This window comes from Homo sapiens, chromosome 9 (assembly GCF_000001405.40).
Source record: "Homo sapiens chromosome 9, GRCh38.p14 Primary Assembly".
Classification (NCBI taxonomy): domain Eukaryota; kingdom Metazoa; phylum Chordata; class Mammalia; order Primates; family Hominidae; genus Homo; species Homo sapiens.
In genome coordinates this window covers 104,668,824-104,690,819 of record NC_000009.12, presented here as the reverse complement: position 1 = coordinate 104,690,819, position 21,996 = coordinate 104,668,824, and the positions used below count along the sequence as shown (strand labels likewise).

The following is a 21,996-nucleotide window of genomic DNA, read 5'->3' as shown; positions in this document are numbered from 1 at the left end:
GCTTGCTCTGCAGCTTCAACGAAAGTCCTCTAGTTCATCCTCTAATCACATTGTCAACTCTGGTTCTCTCTAACTCTGGAGCCACTACTGATGTCCCAAATGCTCTGCACTGACCATGATGAGTTTTGCTCAGTCTCCCCATAATACTGCATTTTCTTTCTTTTTTTTTTTTTTTGTTCTTTTTTTTTTTGAGACAGAGTCTCACTTTGTCACCCAGGCTGGAGTGCAATGGTGTGATCTTGGCCCACTGCAACCTCTGCCTCCTGGGTTCAAGTGATTTTCCTGCCTCAGCCTCCCGAGTAGCTGAGATTATAGCCTCCTGCCTCCACACCCAGCTAATTTTTGTATTTTTAGTAGAGTTGGGGTTTCACCATGTTGGTCAGGCTGGTCTCGAACTCCTGACCTCAGGTGATCCGCCCGCCTCGGCCTCCCAAAGTGCTGGGATTACAGGCATTGAGCCACTGCGCCCAGCTTGCATTTTCATCATTATGCATTTGTGTGTGGCGTCTTCTTAAACTGGAAGGATTGTTCTTATCTATTACCTTTTCTAGGAAAGCTTTCTCACCTACTATTGTGAGGAGGATGCCCTTTTTATATACTGTCATAAAACTGTGCATATCTGTCTTACAGAATTCTACATTTATTCAACAGAAACTATGCCATGTATACTATGGTAGGTAATAGAGATCCTATTGTGAGATCTTGACTTTCAAAATCAAGACTGGATTTTGCACTGGATGCAGAATGCTTACAATAGTTATTTCACACTTTCAAGAAAAAATTTCTGTGCTGTATAATATGTTTCAATGTGAAAAAGTTATAGAACATTTTGTAGAAACATTTTATCAAGCAAAAATAGCCTTGTTTTCCCAAACTTTCAAAGATAGACGAAAACTGTAGATAATCTTATTTATGAATGTATATGGTATAACCATAATTAAAGTACATCCAAACTGTATATACTAAAGTGATACAATTTATTTCATGGATTAATAAAATTCCAAATTAATATTTGAAAATCTATCAACATACTAAACAAATAAGCAAAAAACCCAACACATGGTCTTCTAACAAGACGCTAAAGTGCATTTGGTAAAATACAACATTCACTCTTGGTCAGACCTCTGAGTAATCTAGATACAGGAAGATCGAGAATTAAGATGATAAAGGAGATTATTACTCTCAAATCATTGGGCAGCATAATTCAAAATGGTGAAACTGTAGCAGTGTTTTTTCTTAAAGTTTGCAAAGATAGTGTTAGCACTATTATCAACAATTTTTCACTAGAATGAGCCAACCAAATGGAATAGCATATCCATGGGTTGGATCCATATGTCCTATTATGTTTCAAGTTTAATCATGGTTTAAAAGGTTGCTATGCTTTTTTTTTTTTTTTTTTTTTACCTCCAGGTGCTGGAATTCTGGTTTGTGGGGTTGGTAGGTTATAATATACACATAAGAATACATCCTCTCATATGTTAAACAACTATGAAAGTTGTAATCTTGGAGAATAGTAAATGAAAAGGAAAATCCCCATGATATAATACTGTGTTAAAAAGAATGTCTCGGCCGGGCGCGGTGGCTCACGCCTGTAATCCCAGCACTTTGGGAGGTTGAGGCAGGCGGATCACAAGGTCAGGAGTTCGAGACCAGCCTGGCCAATATGGTGAAACCCCATCTCTACTAAAAATACAAAAATTAGCCAGGCATAGTGGCACGTGCCTGTAGTCCCAGCTACTTGGGAGGGTGAAGCAGAAGAATCGCTTGAACCCGGAAGGTGGTGGTTGCAGTGAGCCAAGATCTTGCCACTGCACTATAGCCTGGGCGACAGAGCGAGACTCCATCTCAAAAAAAAAAAAAAAAGAAGACTGTCTCATAAGCATATAAATGATCACAGTTTTGTATATATGTGACTGAAAGAAGTTACATTGAAATCTTAACCAGTTTTTTTTTTTTTTCTGGAATGTGGTTCTTGGAGGGATTATTACTGTTCTTCATTTTGCCTCATTTTCTAACTTTTTGAAAAGAATGTATATTTTCTGATTATAAAAATACATAATATTTTAAATTCTCCTTTGAAGGAAACAGTGGTGAGAGTTTGAAGAATTTTGGTCCAATTTTCACTAATACCCAAGATCAAGTGAGAATAGTTATTGGAAAGAAAATTGGAGAAAGGCTTTCTGTTGATTTATGACATAAACTGACTTAATGCCATTGAATATTCTGACTTCAAGAGATCAACTTGACAAATATATTCACTCTGAGAAGACACACTAACACAGTCCCAGTTCTTAGATTAGGATTCTAGAGCTCACCACTTAGAATGTGGCTAAGGTGGGCAGTGTGGGTAGGATGATAAGACATCCAACTGTATCACACAGTAAAAAGAGAAGGCAGAGGAGATACCCATGGTGGGAAGGGGTAGGGGAGTAATAGCAATGATTATTACCTCAGTTTCATTTCTGCCAAAAATGGGTAAAGTTCCAGTGCCCCTGGCTCTCTGTTTTTTTGTACATCTCTTTCCAAAGGGTCGGTCTGGTCTTTAGATTGATGCTCAGCATTGGATATCACCTATAGATGAAAATCAAACTCTGCTTGAGAAATATGTTTCTGAAGTGCTCACCCTTCTCCCCATGTTTACCAATAAGAAAGAGTAGTATTTTGCTTGTAAAGCATATGTACTCACCCAGATTCCCTCATTTTAACCAAAGAAACTCTCAAAACAGACTGCGCCCTCAGAAGGAAATTGAATTCACTAAGTATTTATTGTATCCTATCTCCTACTCCAGCTAGATTATCCTGCTGTTTATATAATAACTTATTCTTCACAATAGCCAACATCCCTGGTACTAGAGCTCCAGTGCTTGTCCGAATAAATGAGCCCTTCTGAGCCCCAAAGGAGCTAATAATAAGCAGCAGTGCTCTAGTTAGAACAAGGCCTCTTCTCTCCCTCTCGCATAGGTTAGATAATTATCCTGGGTTTTTTCATCCACGTTTCTGTTTGGTTACCAAAAATATGTGTTTGTTGCTGGAAGTTTCAGTTAGCCATGGGCTCAGTGCTGGGATTGATTCACCCTGCTGTCTTCATGCCCTCGCTGTCTTTAGGGCTATGTCACAGTGCAGTGCCCTTGAATCTCTATAAGCCTACTGTGCCCCAGTCCATGTACTCCATATTACCCTTTGGCTACTGATAAGGAGAAGTACTGCATCTTAGCTGGAAGACGTATACTTCATCCATTTACCTCTTTCTTTCTGAAAATACTTCTTCCCAGCTTTGCCCTAATGTTCCCATTTCAAACATCTGTATAGGGTCCTCATCTTCTCCACTTACAATGGATAGCATGACTTATTGGGATTTCAGTTTCTTCCAAAACAGTCTCCCTCTTTTTCATCAGTGTTTTGCTAACTTCTTGTGTCCACATACTGAAGTCACTGTAGCTGCTCCTTCTCAATCAGTTGACGTCTCAGCTCTCTCTCTTTGAGCTATAGCCATACTCTAGAACACAATCACAACTCTTAAAAGTGGCATGGGAGAGATAAACAATAAAGCTTTCAGCCATAATTTTATATCCAATAGTAAATTAATGTGTCACATAAGTACTTTCCTTCCTCTGAGCCCCAATATTTCCAGAGGACCTGCCAGTGGCTCTGGTAGCCAATTTAAATCCTCCTTGGTTTTCTTCTGAGAGACTGTAATCCCAGAAGTGATTTAAAGTTGAATCTTTAAATAAGGTGGAAGATCGTGACTTTTACATACATTAGGGCTAATATCTCAAAGATCTGATTATACCTAACTTATTATTTTTGAGACAGAGTCTCCCACTGTCGCCCAGGCTGGAGTGCAGTGGCGCAATCCCTACTCACTGCAACCTCCGCTTCCTGGGTTCAAGCGATTCTCCTGCCTCAGCCTCCTGAGTAGCTGGGATTACAGGTGTCCACCACCATGCCAGGCTAATTTTTTGTATTTTTAGTAGAGACAGGGTTTCACTATGTTGGCCAGGCTGGTCTTGAACTCTTGACCTCATGATCCGCTCACCTCAGCCTCCTAAAGTGCTGGGATTACAGACGTGAGCCACCGCACCTGGCCATACCTAACTTATTAAGCAGTAATTTTCTTTCTTTTTTGAATTGCTACTTCCCTGATTATACAAATAATACATACTCAGAATAGAAAATTTGAGAAATTCCAAAAAATCTAAAGGAGGAAAGAAAATCACTCATAATTACAGATGTAAATATTAATATACCTCTATGCATATACTGTGTTTACATGCTTGAGAGTACACTGTATTTCTTGATTTATTACCTGATGTTTATTGTGCATACTACATTGTATATATTTGTCCATGTTAATTTTTCAGACATTTTTAACAAATTCATAATATTTTAAAATGGAAAACAGGAAAAAAAACCCCTACATATAACAAGTGGAAATGAAATAGTTTTCTGCTGGATTCTCAGCAACCTTTCACTTTTCTTTAGGTTTTTGAGGGTAATAACAATATTGGAGGACTAGGCTCAGAGATTATTTTCACTTTCTCTACCGTAAGAGTTAAGGCCCATTTCCACTGTCAGAAGTTCTCATAATGCCCTTTTGTAAAATGAAAAATGAGTGTGATGTACATTTTTTCTTAGTGAGGCAAAGCACACATAGGGTGTAATAACCAAAGCTGTGAACTCACAGCATCAAAGGACAGCACAGTGCTGCCGTGGTTTCCCAAGAGACTTCTCCAACTCCACTCATCCTCTGTCAACTTTCTGGCTCCAGATACTGCTGTTTTACTTCCAGGTCTTTGTGTTTTTAAACTCAACCACACTTACATTTTTGTAAGCACCTCTGCAATTGTGTAAGCCTCAACTCGAAGAACATTCACAATTCATTTAATATTTGGAGAACACATATATATAAGGCCCTTTGCTAAATTTTGATGCCAAATAAACTTGATGTCCACTCAATGTTGTAGGAATATACAAAGATGAAAAGACTCTACCTCTTGAGGCAGGCACTGGCAATATTTCAGAAAAGCATGTTGAAGTAAAAATATTTCTCAGGTTATTCTTGGAAAGTGGAATTTGACTCAATATTGATATATTCTTTTAGCAGACTGTAATTCAGCAGGACTCCATTTTCAAACTTGTCTTCCCTGAGGTGGGCAGCAATTGAAATCTTTGTTCAGGTCTTTTAGGCTTAACATCACTTACGTATAGTGTAGAGATCAGCCGGTATTTGGGTATAGTAAACACAAAAATTTGAGGCTCTCGTTGGTCTGTCTGCCTATTTTCTGTGGCTTTATCTTCCAGATTTTCAATCTCCATGACCTTCATGAACTCTGTCCTGTTCCTTCAGGCCAGTAAGACTGATGTTTTCTACCTGGATTTTAGTTACCCTGTAAAATGACGCTGACTAGGTCCTTCTCTTATCTTAAAATCAGCAAAAGTAAATCATCCATGCCATTTTTTCTGGCAAATATCGACTGCTCCAATCCAGTTTCTGGATGCTTTTGGCCACTTCAGGAAAATGTATGTATGTGTGTAAGTATATATTTGTGTGTTTGTTGTGGTAAGAGCATTTAACATGATAATATGAGATGTACTCTCTTAACAAATTTTTAAGCATGCAATAACAGCATCGTTAACTATGAGCACTATGTTGTACAACAGATATCTAGAAGATATTAATCTTTTATAATTGAAACTTTTATATTTGTTGAATAGTAACTCTTCATTTCTGTCTGCCCCCCACCTAGCCCCTGGAAACCATCATTCTCTTTTCTGCTTCTATGAATTTGGTTCTTTTTGGTAGTTGATATAAGTTGATATAAGTGTAATCCTACAGTGTTTGTCTTGCAGTGACTGGCTTACTTTACTTAGTATAGTGTTACCAAGGTTCGGCCATGTTATTGTATATGGCAGGATTTCCTTCTTCTTTTTTTTTTTGAGATGGAGTCACCCTCTTGTTGCCCAGGCTGGAGTGCAATGGCGTGATCTTGGCTCACTGCAACCTTCGCCTCCCAGGTTCAAGTGATTCTCCCACCTCAGCCTCCAGAGTGGCTGGGGTTACAGGCGCCTGCCACCACGCCTGGCTAATTTTTGTGTTTTTAGTAGAGACGGGGTTTTGCCATGTTGGCCAGGTGGATTTCCTTCTTTTTAAAGGCTGAATAATATTCCATTATATCACATGTACACATGTTTTCTTTATCCGAACATCTGTTGCTGGACATTTAGGTTGTTTCCATATTTAGACTATTGTGAACAATGCTGAATGACACTGGCATGCAAATATCTTTTCAAGATCTTGATTTCAGGAAGTTTCTTTTTCCCTGTAAGGTAAAAAAACATTTTTACCTATATTATTACCTGTAATAGTCTAGGTGTTTATTGGGGATACAAAATTAACAAGATACTATTCTTGTTTTAGAGATATTGTCAGTCTAGTGAAGAAATGAATATATCTTTATATAAATGTCACCCTTCAAGAGTATGTAGGCCGGGTGCGGTGGCTCACACCTGTAATCCCAGCACTTTGGGAGGCTGAGGCAGGCGGATCATGAGGTCAGGAGTTTGAGACCAGCCTGGCCAACATGGTGAAGCCCCGTCTCTACTAAAGATACAAAAAATTAGCTGGGCGTGGTGTTGCGTGCCTGTAATTCCAGCTACTTGGGAGGCTGAGGCAAGAGAATTGCCTGAACCCAGAAGGCAGAGGTTGCAGTGAGCCGAGATCGCGCCACTGCATTCCAGCCTGGGGGACAGAACGAGACTCTGCCTCAAAAAAAAAAAAAAGAGTATATATTCAGTTATTTCAATGAAAGCTCTATGAGTGCAAGGACTTAAAAAACATTCTATTGAGATACAATTGACATAACAAAAAGTTACACATATTTAATGTATGCAATTTAATGAGTTTGAAGATAAGCATACACCCAGGAAACCATTACCACAATCTATGCCATAAACAATCCATTGCCTAAAAAAGTTTTCTATTGCACTCTTTATCTACTATTATTTTTATTGTTCTTTGTGAAAAGAACAGTTCTCCGAGGTAAGCAGCAACTGAAATTATCACCTCCAAAAAGAAATTTAAAACATATTTTTCCTAGAGTGTACAGTTAGCTGCAGGAGAGTTGTTCCAAATGCTATTATTGGAAGATTCCATTTTATATTTTATTTATTATTTCCACATCGATGTTATAAGTGAAATAAGCCAAAAAGCTTTATCTGCTTGTACTGTTCTCATCTGAATATGAAATAAAAATAAATGGATCAGGCAGGTTTCTCAATTTTTTTTTTTTTTTTTTTTTTTTTTGCTAAATAACTTGAATAAGATGATGACTGTTCCTTGACAATTTAGTGAACTCATAAGTAAAACTGTCTGGCAGCAGGAACTACTAAGGTTCAATTGAGGTTGATAAAAATAAAGATGCAGTTTTTTTCCCATCCAAGTTACTAGGCCCCTTGAGTTCTATGCCTGGGTGTCCTTTGGGATCAAGAGCCACTGCTCTAGAGAATATACCAAGGAGAGGTTTTCTGGGTCAGTCAGTATATACATTCATCTTTCTTGTAATTTTTGTTAATTTTAAAAGCTTTTTTGTTCATTTGTTTCCTTTGTTTGATTTTGGGTTATATATTCATCTTTGCTAAGTTTCCAAATTTGTACCCTAAATAGAAGTGTATGAGGCTTCACTTTGCATCATATTCTTGCCAATACTTAGTATTGACCAACTTTTAAGTTATTACCAATCTAGTCTGGTCAATTTGGAGTAGTATCTTTTTAAGACTCATGAAACAATAGGTATTGTTTGAAGGGTGGTGAAAAAAATTATATGAGGTGGACATAGGAAGCACTCTGTCTGAGATATTTCTACTTGGTTGTGTCACGTGGTTAGGTTCATGCAAATCTTCAGAAGGAAGCAGGATGGGTGGAGCCAATGTGGGCCCAACAGTTAGTGAGGGCAGTAACTGCATATATACTGTATATGTTTGTAAGTTTTTGGTCCATCCTTACATAGGTACTTTCAGGACTCCTTTGTAAGCGCGGCTGAAGAAATCACAACTTCTATTATATTCTAAGGCCACTAGATGGTGGCATAGACTAGCTTTTTCTTCCTCATTTCTTTTGCCCCATACTTGTAAGTGGAATTGTGGGATCAACTTTACCTGATCTTATTTGCTCTTCAAAATATTAATTCATATGTTCACTGGCAATGAATTGAACTTGATTTCTCCATATTCTTGTCAATACTTATGATGCTATAATTTAGTATCTGACTATTTAGAAAGTATGTAATGTCTCATATTGTCATTATAAATGCATGTTGAATTTTATGAAATTTTCTGCATTTAGTAAAATAGACATGCTTTTTTCTCCTTTAATTGATATTGTTATAAATTAAATTAACATATTTTCTAATGTTAACATTTTCTTGCATCCCTGATATATATTTTACTTGGACATTAGGTATTATTATTTTGTACATTGCTGGATTACATTTGCTAATATTTTATTTAAGGTTTTTGTATCTATGTAGTAGAGTGGCGTATTTTTTCCCTTTTTTAATTGTCCAGTTTTTGTTTCACATGCTTGCTTCGAAAGATTGGTTCCAGAAGATCTTCCTGTTTTTCTATTTTCTGCAACAAATTTAGAGATTTTTTATACTCTTGAACATTTATTAGAATTTTCTAGGGAAATTGTTTGGACCTGGCAATTTTTAAAACAACTGGTTCAAAATTCCTTGTCTTTGTGTTTTTTCCATTCTTTATTTTTTTTTCTAGAGCTTGAATTGGATGCTAAGTGCATAAACTTTCAACTTTTTTTATGTTTAAGCCTATAAATTTTCTTCGAAACAGTTAAACTGAATCAACTAATTTTGATGGTAATTTTGTTGTCCTAAAGTTGTAAATGTTTTATAATTTCCATTGTTATTTTTTACTAATCAATGATTTACTTAGAAATGTGTTTCAAAATTTCCAAATATAAAATATATTTTGAGTTTTTTAATTGATTTCTGATTGTATTTCATTGTGATAAGAAAATGTGGTTGAGTGCTATTAATTGTTCAATATGTATTAAGTCTTGCTTTCTGACCCAAGGAGTCAGTTTTATAAATATATATTCCCCAGTTGTTTGAATATAAAACGATGGATATTACATATTATATATTTTTATCTTCTTCAGATGACTTTTAATCATTGTAGAATTTAAATTTTTTATTTTCACATTTTTAACCCATTAGAGAGAAGTATACATTAAAATCACTCACTTTTATTTTATTTTAAAAATACCATTAAATTTCTTTTTTAATTATTAATTTTTATGAATACAGTAAGTGTATATATTTATAGGGCGCTTGAGATATTTTGATGCAAGCATACAATGTGTAGTAGTCACACTAGGGCAAATGAGGTATCCGTCACCTCAAGTATTTATCTTTTCTTTGTGTTGCAAACAATCCAATTATATCCTTTTAGTTATTTTAAAAGTACGATAAATTACTGTTGATTGTAGTCATCCTCTTGTGCTATCAGATTCTAGATTTTATTTATTCTATCTAACTATATTTTTCTGCAGATCAACCATCCTTAGTTCTCCCTCACTTTATGCTTCCCAGCCTCTGGTAACCATCGTTCTACTCTCTACTTCCTTGAATTCAATTGTTTTAATTTTTAGCTCCCACAAATAAGTGAGAACATGTGGTTTGTCTTTCTGTGTCTAGCTTACTTCACTTAACATAATAACCTCCATTTCCATCCATGTTGTGCAAATGACAGGATCTCATTATTTTTTATGGCTCAATAGTACTCCATTGTGCGTATGTGCCACATTTTCTTTATCCATTTATCTTTAGTGGACATTTAGGTTGCTTCAAAATTTTGGCTATTTTGAATAGAGTTGCAATAAACATGGGAGTGCAGATATCTCTTCAATATACTGCTTTCCTTTCTTTTGGTTATATACCTAGCAGTGGGATTGCTAGATCACACGATAGCTCTATTTTTAGTTTTTTGAGGAACTTCCAAACTGTTCTCTAAAGTAGTTGTACTAATTTACATCCCCACCAATATCGTATGAGGGTTCCTCTTTCTCCATATCCTCGCTAGCATTTGTTATTGCCTGTGTTTTAGATATAAGTCATTTTAACTGGGGTAAGGGGATATTGTAGTTTTGATTTGCATGTCTCTGATGATCAGTGATATTGAGCACCTTTTCATATACCCCTTTGCCATTTGTATGTCTTCTTTTGAGAAATGTCTAGTCAGATTTTTTGCTCAATTTTTAATTGGATTACTAGACTTTTTTTCTATAGAGTTATTTGAGCTCCTTGTATATCTGGTTATTAATCCCTTGTCAGATGGGTAGTTTGCAAATATTTTCTCCCATTCTGTGGGTTGTCGCTTTGCGTTGTTGTTTCCTCTGCAGTGCAGAAGCTTTTAAACTTGATGTGATCTCATTTGTTTATATTTGCTTTTATTGTCTGTGGTTGTGGGGTATTACTCAAGAAATGTTTGCCAAATCCTATGTCCTGGAGAGTTTCCCCAATGTTTTCTTGTAGTAGTTTCATAGCCTGATGTCTTAGATTTAAGTCTTTAATCCATTTTGATTTGATTTTTGTATATGATGAGAGATAGGGTTCTAGGTGCATTCTTCTGCATATGGCTATCCGGTTTTCCTAGCACCATTTATTGAAGAGAGTGTCCTTTCTCCACTGTTGTTCTTGGCACGTTTGTTGGAAATGAGTTCTCTTTAGATGTATGAATTTGTTTCTGGGTTCTCTAGAATGTTCCATCGGTCTGTGTGTCTGTTTTTATGCCAGCACCATGCTGTTTTGGTTACTACAGCTCTGTATTATGATTTGAAGTCAGGTAATGTGATTCCTCCAGTTTTGTTCTTTTTTCTTGGGATAGCTTTGACTATTCTGGGTATTTTGTGGTTCCATATAAGTTTTAGGATTATTTTTTCTATTTTTTGAAGAATGCCATTAGTATTTTGATAAGGATTGCATTGAATCTGTAGATTGCTTTGGGTAGTGTGAACATTTTAATAGTATTGATTCTTCCAATCCATGAACATGGAATATCTTTCCATTTTTTTGTGTGTCCTCTTTAACTTCTTTTATCAATATTTTATAGTTTTCATTGTAGATATCTTTCACTTCCTTGGTTAAGTTTATTCCTAGGTATTTTATCTTATATGTAGCTGTTGTAAATGGGATTACTATCTCGATTTCTTTTTCAGCTTGTTCGCTGCTGGCATATAGAAATGCTACTAATTTTTGTATGTTGATTTTCTATCCTGCAGCTTACTGAATTTGCTTCTCAGTTTTAATAGTTTTTTGCTGGAGTCTTTAGGTTTTTCCAAATATAAAATCATATCATCTCCAAGGATAATTTGACTTTTCATTTCCAGTTTGAATGCCCTTTATTTCTTCCTGTTGTCTGATTGCTCTAGCTAGGATTTCCAGTACTATGTTAAATAACAGTGGTGAAAGTGGGCATTGTTTTCATGTTCCAGATATAATAGGAAAGGCTTTCAGTTTTTTTCCATTCAGTAAGATACCATCTGTGGGTCTGTTGTATATGGCTTTTGTTATGTTGAGGTATGTTCCTTCTATACCGAGTTTTTGAGAGTTTGTATCATGAAGAGATGTTGAATTTTATAAAATGGTTTTTTAGCATCATTTGAAATTATCCTATGGTTTTTGCCCTTCATTTTGTTGATATGATGTATCACATTGATTAATTTGCATATGTTGAACCATCTTTGCATCCCTAGGATAAATCTCACGTGGTCATAATGAACTTTTTAATGTGTTGTTGAATTTGGCTTGCTAGGATTTTGTTGAGGATTTTTGCATCAATGTTCATTAGGGATATTGTCCTGTAGTTTTCTTTTTCTTTTTCTTTTTTTTTTTTGATGTGTCTTTATCTGGTTCTGGAATCATGGTAACACTGGGCTTATAGAATCAGTTTGGAAGCTTTTTTTTGAATAGTTTGAGTAGGATTGGCATTAGTTCTTTAAATGTTTGGTAAAATTCAGCAGTGAAGACATTGGGTCCTGGGATTTTCATTGCTGGGAAAGAAAAAATTATTATTATTTTGGCTTCAGTCTCATTACTTGTTATAGGTCTGTTGAAGTTTTGGATTTCTTTATGGTTTAATCTTGGTAGGTTGTATATGTCTAGGAATTTATCAGTTTCTTCTAGGTTTTTCAGTTTATTGGCATATCGTTGTTCACAGTAGCTTCTAGTGATCTGATGATCATTATGGGTTCATGAAGGAGGCATGTTATCAGAGATTCAGGGCTATATTTTCTACCCTCTTCCTTGCCTCTTTTAGTGATATGAAGTTACAACCAGGTGCTATGATTGCGCAGCTGTTTTGGTTCTTATGAATGTGCTTTTTATTGTGTGGATAGTTGTGCAATTTGGTGTTCCTGCAGGGAAGACAATTGGTGGAGGCTTCTAGTTGGCCATGTTGTCCTGCCTCCTCTCACTTTTATTTTATTTATTTTTTTGAGACAGAGTCTCACCCTGTCGCCCTGGCTGGAGTGCAGTGGCATGATCATGGCTTACTGCAGCCTTGATCAACGGAATCATTATTATAATTTAGCTACTATTAGTTTAGATAGCCTCTAATTAATAGTGTTGCATAATTTAATCATTGTTCTTTTAATCTCACATCTGTGTAAGAATATGAGTAACACAGAGAAAGAAAATTATTTCTTTCATCCAGGTTATAATTTAGTTTCTTTGGGTTGAGCTTCAGTCATTTAGTTTTTATTAAAGTTACATATTAAAATAGATCCTGAGAAATGCGAATACTAATGTAACTTAGTGGTTTTAAGAACAGTGATACTATACGATATATAGGCTGTTATCATGTAGATGCAGAGAAATAACATTATCAAAGGTATCTTCATGATGCAATGTATATTGAATGTGAAATTAATTCCTGCAGAATAAATGCTGTAGGAATAACTAAGGTCCTTTTGCTAAGGTTTATACAGTCTGGCATGCCCTGGGGAATCTAGTTCCCTCCGAAGTAACTAAAAACAGACGAACTTTAACTGAAAACATATCATCTGAAAGAATTTCGTTAATGACTTTCTCCTTATTACTTAGAGTTTAAATTTGGTAAATCTTCTGATGCTTTTCTTTCCTTCCCATCCCCCAGGAATAGCAACTGAAATCCAGACAAGCATTCAGTATAGAAAACTACGTTTCTGAGGGACCATTACATTTTATTTTGCTTTGCTCCCTTGTTGGAGTTGTAAGCAACCTATTAAAAAGTTTTTGTTTTTAAATAAAACTTTTTTCCTAAAGAAGGTTTAAATTTATGACACAGTTCTTTTTATCCACTTACTAGTCTTGCCTCCACTAGAGTCTGTCTTGCATCATACATTCAACTTGACAAGTTTTCTGTCAATGTAAATGCGTACATATGTATTTTAATATTGGAAAGATCTCTTTCAGGGAACCCTGCAAAGACTGCTTTAATAAAGTATAACCTCTTGGTGATGACGTGAAAAAAATTATTCTCCTTTTGTCATTTTGTTTATTTTATAACTTTAGATATTTGAACTTTCTAATCAGTGTCACACAAAATGCTACAATTAAAAATTAATTATTTGTTCTCTGCTTATACTCCTGTCAAAAAAATAAGAAAACTGTTAATGAATTGAAAAGCAGATAAGATCTGACAGAAAATTTCCTCTTCATGGCCTCTGGAGTTAAAGCGAATGGGGGATATTACTAATAGCATCAAAAAATTTCTCTCTTGAATCAGGTTCCTACAAGAGTATCCCTTCCTCTTAGCTGTTAAAATTGGCAGGATATATGTTTTTAAACAGGTACTAAAGATTCTGAGGGTGGCTACATATGCTTTACATAAGAAGTCTAGTTGAAAGAATTTGCAGATAGTATGGAGATAGCATATTAGAAAAAAAACCTTAAATATATGGCACTCATTCCATTTCACCTCATTGACATGTCTCTTAATCCATAAGTTTATTCCAAATTTCAATGCAGATGTGTTCTCTCTCAAATTTTTCTGAAATTGTTTTAAAAAGTTTTTATTCATATACCTGTATATATGCTCATTTTCTCAAAAGAAGAAAACTTAAACTAGCTTCTTCCTCAATGACACATTTGTCTATTCTCATTTACATGTCTGTGAGAGTTACCCAATCACCTAATTGTGTTGGTATTTCAAAGTCTGAATATTATTTATTTATTTATTTATCTATTTTTATAATTATAAGATATTTAAACTGTTTTTTGTTTGTTTGTTTGTCTGTTTTTTTGAGACAGAGTCTTGGTCTGTCACCCAGGCTGGAGCGCAGTGGTACGAACTCAGCTCACTGCAACCTCCGCCTCCCGGGTTCAAGTGATTCTCCTGCCTCAGCCTCCCGAGTAGCTGGGACGACAGGTGCACGCCACCATGCCTGGCTAATTTTTTGTATTTTTAGTAGAGATGGGGTTTTGCTGTGTTGGCCAGGCTGGTCTCGAACTCCTGACCTCAAACAATCTGCCCACCTCTGCCTCTCAAAGTGCTGGGATTACAGGTGTGAGCCACTGTGCCTGGCCTAAAATGTTTCTTATATAGAGTTTAACCTTTATAACAATTTTGTCAGAAATAGCTGTAGTCACAAGTCAAGAATTTTTACCAGTATGTCATATTTAAAGTGTCTTGCTTGAATCCCCTGGGAAAATCTTGCCACTAGACAGTATGGTAGGATAGTTTTAACTTCTTGTTTTGCAAGTGTGGTGTGTCATTTCATCGGTTATTACATTAGTAAATAAATGTGCACTGAATTTTCGAAAGAATGTCAAATGATGTAACACAGAACATAGTATGTCAGTGTGAAGTTAGAAACTGATTTTCAGCTTGTACTCCAAATGAGATGTGACTCTTTACAGCAGTAAATATTATTACCCTCCCTATCACCAAAAACAGACATTTTGTTTTCATTGTCCCCATTTAATAGATAAGCAAATGAATTTTAAGAGAAGTTCAGAGCTTGCCAGATTTCCAACCGCAAGACACAGAACAAAAAAACCTATGAATTATTGCAAGTACACTGACAGGAGTCCAAGCAGTTAGATTTGGGGGATAAAAAGAGCTTTATTGCAGTGGGGAGAGAGAGAGCAAGAGTGAGAGAGCACTGAGTAATAAGTAGCCAGCATTTTGCAAGACATTCTAAACTTACCTTTAAAGTGAAATAAATCAGAGCCCTAAAACCAGGAGTAGCCAAGTCCAGCACATACAAAATGTAACAAGCAGCTTATAAAAAACGAGAAAGATCAGTGAAACCTGGAGGAAAGGTAAGTAGACTAAAAATGTATAAAGAATACTCCTTTAATTACCAGCTTAGGGTTCCTATCAGTAATCAAATCAGAAAAAAAGCAGAAACTTATAGTGAATGCCAGAATGTGTGTGCATATATATACACACAAATATATTTTGCGATATATATATTCCAAAGTGTACAGGTTATAGGGCTGTCCTGCAATGTGTGTGCTCATTCTTCAACAAATATTTATAGAGTACATAATATTTGTTTAACATTACTTAACAATAACTAATAAGAAAAAGTTAGCTGGGCATGGTGGCTCACACCTGCAATTTCAGCACTTTGGGAGGCTGAGGTGGGTAGATCACAAGGTCAAAAAATCGAGACCATCCTGACCAACATGGTGAAACCCTGTCTCTACTAAAAATACAAAAATTAGCTGGGCATGGTGGCGCGTGCCTGTAGTCCCAGCTACTTGGGAGGCTGAGGCAGGAGAATCACTTGAACCCAGGAGGCGGAGGTTGCAGTGAGCTGAGATCGTGCCACTGCACTCCAGCCTGGGTGACAGAGCAAGACTCCGTCTCAAAAAAAAAAAAAAAAAAAAGAAAAGAAACAGTCCTCATCCTTGTGGAGCTTACATTCCTGTGGCAATAAACTCGTAAAACAATGAATATATAATGCAATTTTGGGAAATGTGAGCGCTATGAAGGAAAACAAAGTATGATAAGTTCTTGACCAAAACTTGAGTTAAATGAGAGAGAAACCTGGGGGACCAGGAAAGACTGTGCCAGGTAGAGGCAGCAGCAAAGGCAAAGGCTTGGGTATGTCTGGGAAACAGCAAGAAGACAACAGATGTGGACTCTGGTAAGCATGGGAAGGAGGTAGGAGATGGATGACACTGCGGAAATAGGTTGGGTCAGATTATGTAGACCCTTGTAGGCCATGGTAAGGAGTGGATTTTATTCGAAATATAATGGTAATATTAAGATGGTTTTTAGTAAATGCCTGACATCATATGTCTACATTTTTAAAATAACACGGCTGGGTGTGATGGCTCACGTCTGTCATCCCAGCACTTTGGGAGGCCGAGGCTGGCGGATCATGAGGTCAGGAGTTCGAGACCAGCCTGGCCAACATAGTGAAACCCGGTCTCTACTAAAAATACAAAAACAATTAGCCGGGTGTGGTGGTGAGTGCCTGTAATCCTAGCTACTCGGGAGGCTGAGGCAAGGAGAATTGCTTGAACCTGGGAGGCCAAGGTTGCAGTGAGCCGAGTTTACGCCACTGCACTCTAGCCCGGGCAACACCGCGAGACTCTGTCTCAAAACAAAACAAAACAAAACAAACAAACAAAAAAACCACCCAAGCTACTGGAGAATGACTTGTAGCAGAACAAGAATGAAAGCAAGGAGATGACTTTGAAAGCCATTTCAGTAGTGTAGATGTGATAACAGTAGCTTGGACTAGAGTGGTAGCAACTGAAGTATTCAGGTTCAGTATAAATTTTGAGTCAAACTGACAGAATTTTCTGGTGCATTGGATTTGTATAAGTGGTTTTACATTTCCTGAGGTAGGGAAGATGAAACCAAATGAGGATAGAGAGAATCAACAGTTCTGTATTGAACTCATTATCTTGATACACTTATTAATTATCTAAGTGGAAATGTGCAGTAGGAAGTTGAATATATGAATCTGGATGTTAGGGAAGTCAGGAATGGAGATACATATGTAGGAATTACTGGTTTATAGATTAATATTTCTTCTTGTTAAATAATGACCTTAAGAAAGTAGCTCTGGGATTCTTATCTGTGTTTAATTCAGTTAGATAGACTCTGCCTGACCTATTATAGTCGCGGTTGTTACACTCAGGTGAGACAAAACCAGGTAAACAACACTGAAACACATTGTTTTTTTAATTGACAGAGTCTCACTGTGTCACCCAGGCTGGAATGCAGTAGGCAATATTGGCTTACTGCAACCTCCGCCTCCTGGTTTCAAGCAATTCTTATGCCTCAGCCTCCCTAGTAGCTGGGACTACAGGTGCACGCCACCACACCCAGCTAATTTTTTTGTGTGGGCTTTTTGTTTGTTTGTTTGAGACTGAGTTTCGCTCTGTCACCAGGCTGGAGTGCAGTAGTGTGATCTCGGCTCACTGCAACCTCTGACTCCCAGGTTCAAGTGATTTTTCTGCCTCAGCCTCCCAAGTAGCTGGGACTACAGGCACCCACCACCACGCCTGGCTAATTTTTTTATTTTTAGTAGAGACAGGGTTTCACCATGTTGGCCAGGATGGTCTCGATCTCCTGACCTTCTGATCCACCTGCCTTGGCCTCCCAAAGTGCTGGGACCACAGGTGTGAGCCACCACACCTGGCCTTTTGTGTGTTTTTAGTAGAGATGGGGTTTCACCATGTTGGCCAGGCTGGGCTCAAACTCCTGACATCAAGTGATCTGCCTGTGTTGGCCTCCCAAAGTGCTGGGATTACAGTTGTGAGCCACCACACCTGGCCTGAAACACTGTTGAAGAGAATGCTGTCTCAACTGGGCTTATTGCTAGTTGTGTGTATTCCCTGTAACATCATACAAGACACAACCTTCAAAAGAAAAATGCCTGTTTAAAAAAGTTGAATACACAAATTGCACTGATCCAAATTATCAACGTGTTAATTGTGGAGATTACAAAGACCAGTAACTCTACTTCTAATGACCTTTCAATAAAGCAGGATATACAAACAACACACAAATAGAAAATAAATCTTCATATTATAAATATTATGAAAGATTGCTAAACAAATCCAATTTAGTTAAAATGATAAGTAGGAGCTTCAAGGCAGAGGAGGCTTTTGAGGAGGGTCTTGGATTGTGATAGATTAGAGAGATTTTGATTTTAGATAGAGAGAATGGCATGAACAAAGATGCAGAGGCAGCAATGATTGGCAAGGCTTATTCTAGTAATGGTAACTAAGCTTGCTTAGCTTCAATGTGTGAAAAGCAATCATGCCTTCATTCATTCAACAAAGAACTATAATGAACATCTATTTCCTGAGGACTCCACTTTACGTCTTTAAATTTTATGTTCCTGGTGAACTACAGAGTTGGGATTTTTATCCATCTCTTCCTGATTTCTAAAATGTGTGCTTTCAACTACATCCCTCTGAATAAATAGTATACAATATATAATACAAATTATAAAAGAGGCACAAAGAAGCATATAGAAACACTGAAGTGGGAGAAGTGATTTTTTCCTGGAGGGTTTAGTAAAGGCTTCACAGAAGAGGTGACATTTGAGTTTAGCGACAGTGCGACAGAAAAAATAACCCTTGATTTGGGAATATTAATGTTCAACTCTTCTCAAAATCCATCTATCAAAAGAGCAGAAGCTTCCAGTTATTGATCTTTATAATCTTCAAAATAATTAAAAATGTGAGATACAATCAATATATATCCTAGCTCACTGACATAAGCCTCAATACTTAAAGTCTGTTTTTTCCCTTGTTTTAAAACTTACCATCCCCTGAACTGCTGGTCCAAGGAAGAGAAATTTTATTTTACCTGATAAAAGATATTTACATCAAAAGAATATTATCATATGAAATGAAAGCAAGAGAGAGGGAGGAAAAAAAAAAAAAGCAAAGCTGGAAAATGGAGAGATGCTCCAAAACAGCTGGGGGATATGATGCCAGTGGATAAAAGAAAAAGTAATTCTTATCAGTGTTACTGTGGTAGGAAATATTTGGATTCCTTCCATGGTTTTTAAGAAAGTTAAGTAGAGGTTGAAAATTATTTTGATTGCTTGACTGTTTCCTTTTTGAGAATGAGCCATGGAAATTTCAGCTTTGTAAGCATGTAATAATAACACTAGTAATACTGTTAATCATGAAAGACATCTATTAAAGTCTTAGGAAATGCATTGGGTTCTGTATTTAGTGGGTTCTCTATCTAGTTATTTGTTGAAAATGCTCAATTTATAAGTGCTATAGCATGTTGAATGCTTTAATGGAACACATCTCAGATCGTGGAAAACAGAGAAAGCACCCCCAAAGCTCCTCAGAGTTAATAGATATTACTATTTTAATACTGCATATTGATTTTATTTGTTTCAAATATCATGTATTATGTATACCTTTAACCAATATTATATTGCTTGAAGTTGCACCTTCTTCATTCTCCATGCTAAATATTCCATTATTCTACTTGTGATAAACATTTATATTTTTCTAGTGTTTGTATAAGGTATGAATAGTGCTTTTATTAACATACTTATATGCATCTTTGGTGTAAATTTGTATATAATCACTCTATTGAATATATAGTTTAGAAAGAATTCTGAGTTATAGGGTATGCAAATACTTAGCTTCATACACATCTCCAGTTCTATAAAGTATTGGTACCAATTTAAGCTCCCACCAGCAGTATGTAAGAACTTAAGTTGCTTTACATCTTTGGAAACACTTGGTATTATCTCTGTTTTTCATTTTAGCTGTTGTGGTGGGAGTGGTAGCATATTATTTTATTTTTTTATTTCCCTGAAGTTAAGCATTTTTCATACATTTATTGCATATTCAAATATCCTTATTTGATGAAATGTACATTCACTTTTTTTTTGGTCCATTCTTCTACTAGGTTGTCTTTTTAAAATGGATTTTAAATGATTTTTCATATCTTATTTATATGAATCCTTTGTTAAAAATATTTATTTAAAAAATATTTTTCCTTTCTGTTTATGTTCTTAATGATGACATCTAATGAATAGAAGTTATTAATTTAAATATAATTAGACCAATTCACAATCTTTTCTTTGTGGTTATTCTTCTATATATTCTTCTAAAAGAATACTTCTACGTATTATTCTAAAAGATGTATTGTTCCATTTTTCATATCTAAATCTGTAATCAATCTTGATTTGATTTTTGTGTATAAAGTAGGGGCCAAGATTAAATTTTTTCTTTTTGGATATTCAATTGATCCCCTATTAGCTTCTTTAGTTGCACATTTTTACCTTAAAATATTATTAACAGATTAAGAAAATTGAGGCTTAAGTAACGGGCCCAAAATCATGCAGCTTTTATTTGACAGAGGCTTACCATGATCAGATTGATTTTTTGGAAAGATAACGCAGACAAAATTATGGAGAATAGACTGAGGTGCTAGCGATGGTGTTGAAAATGAAGGTAGAAAGGCCAACTGGGAGTACCTTGCAGTAATCAAATGGAGGCATAATGTGGAAATAGTACTAAGAATAGCTGGAGGGTAGTTAACAGATGTGAAAGATGTCTAGGAGTCCAACTTTATAAGTTTTGATAGTTTAGATTTGGTGGTGCCATTAATCAGTTAGGAATTGCAAGGGAAGTCAACAATATAACACTTGCATTCTGAGTGGTTAAAAATATGCCAGGTACTGGCCTTAATTCTGTAATTACAGTGATTAACAAGAGCAAGATGGTGCTTATTCTTAAGGTGCTTGCTGTTTGGCCAGACACAGATAATTAAACACGTGATTGCAATAATGTGTGATAAGTGCTGTATTAAGGGAGATATAGGATGTTATCAGGGCACACAGGAGGGTTGCCTAACTCAGACTAGGGGTCAGGAATGACATCTTCAGGAGATTCTGGGAGAAGGATAATAGCAATTAAGCAAGAAAAGGAAGAGTTCCCTACCCTCTGCATATGCTATGCTATTCTTTCTCCCTCAAAAATTCTCCATTTGCTCTTTGTTTTCTAGAGAGAGAGGAGGGGGGTGGTGGGGGAAGGTGGTATATTCTAAAAATTAAAAGAAGCTCCATTTTGGTTGCACATGGGATAAAGAACAGTTGGGAGAGGTGAAATTTTGTGAAATATGAGGCTAAAGAGTTATTTAGGATCTAGAGCTCAGACAACTTTGCAGTTCAGTTTAGGCATTTTGGAAATCATCAAAAGAACAGGGGGTAACATTTCTTTTCATAATAGGAAAGTAGCAGGAAGATAATGTAGTGTAAGTCAACATGGTGAGTGAAAGACATGTGTTTTACTTACTGCATTTAGATAAGATGCTACCATAAAATGCCCAGGAGAGAAATCTGGGATGAGGCCTATGGATTTGGATTCACCAGTTTATTGATGATGCATTGAAACCATAGAGTGAATGAGATTGCCCTAGGAGATAATCTGGAATTTTAGGTGGTAGTTGTTTTGTGGGGAGACATTAGTATCAGGTCAAAGTGTTCATGTCTTAGTTGGAAAGCCAAGGTAAGTTTTTGAATTGTGGTGATGATGAACACCATGAATTAGGAAGATTAATTTGGAAAAGGTAGCAGACTCTATAGAATTAAAAAAGTTTAGATTCTGTGAAAGCAAATAGATTACTGTAATCTCCAAGTTGAAAAGAATCTGGATAGTAGCAGAAAACAAAAAATAAGGGATGGCTTTTAGAATAAAAAAAGATCTGGATTCAGATTCCATCTCAAACACCAATGTTCACATTGTTTACCATTACCTAGAAGAGTGTAGGCTCTTATATATTTGTTCAATGAATGAATGAAATGATCTTTGCTAATTATAAGTCTAAAATACAGACTGAAATTCTAATTTTAGTTCTAAAAATAAACTCAAGTGGTAATTGTTTCAAAGAATACAACTAAAAACAAAAAGTAGAAAATATACACACAAAAGAACAGATTTTGGATTCATATAAGCAGTTTTTGACAGTAATAACTAGATTCCCTCAGAACAG

At 36.1% G+C, this 21,996-nt stretch overlaps 1 long non-coding RNA gene across 1 annotated transcript in view; it reads left to right on the top strand.

Moving 5' to 3' along the window:
• Nucleotides 1–21,996, top strand: part of LOC107987105 (uncharacterized) — a 217,429-nt gene that overhangs the window by 56,820 nt on the left and 138,613 nt on the right. The gene's annotated exons all lie outside the window — the stretch shown is intronic.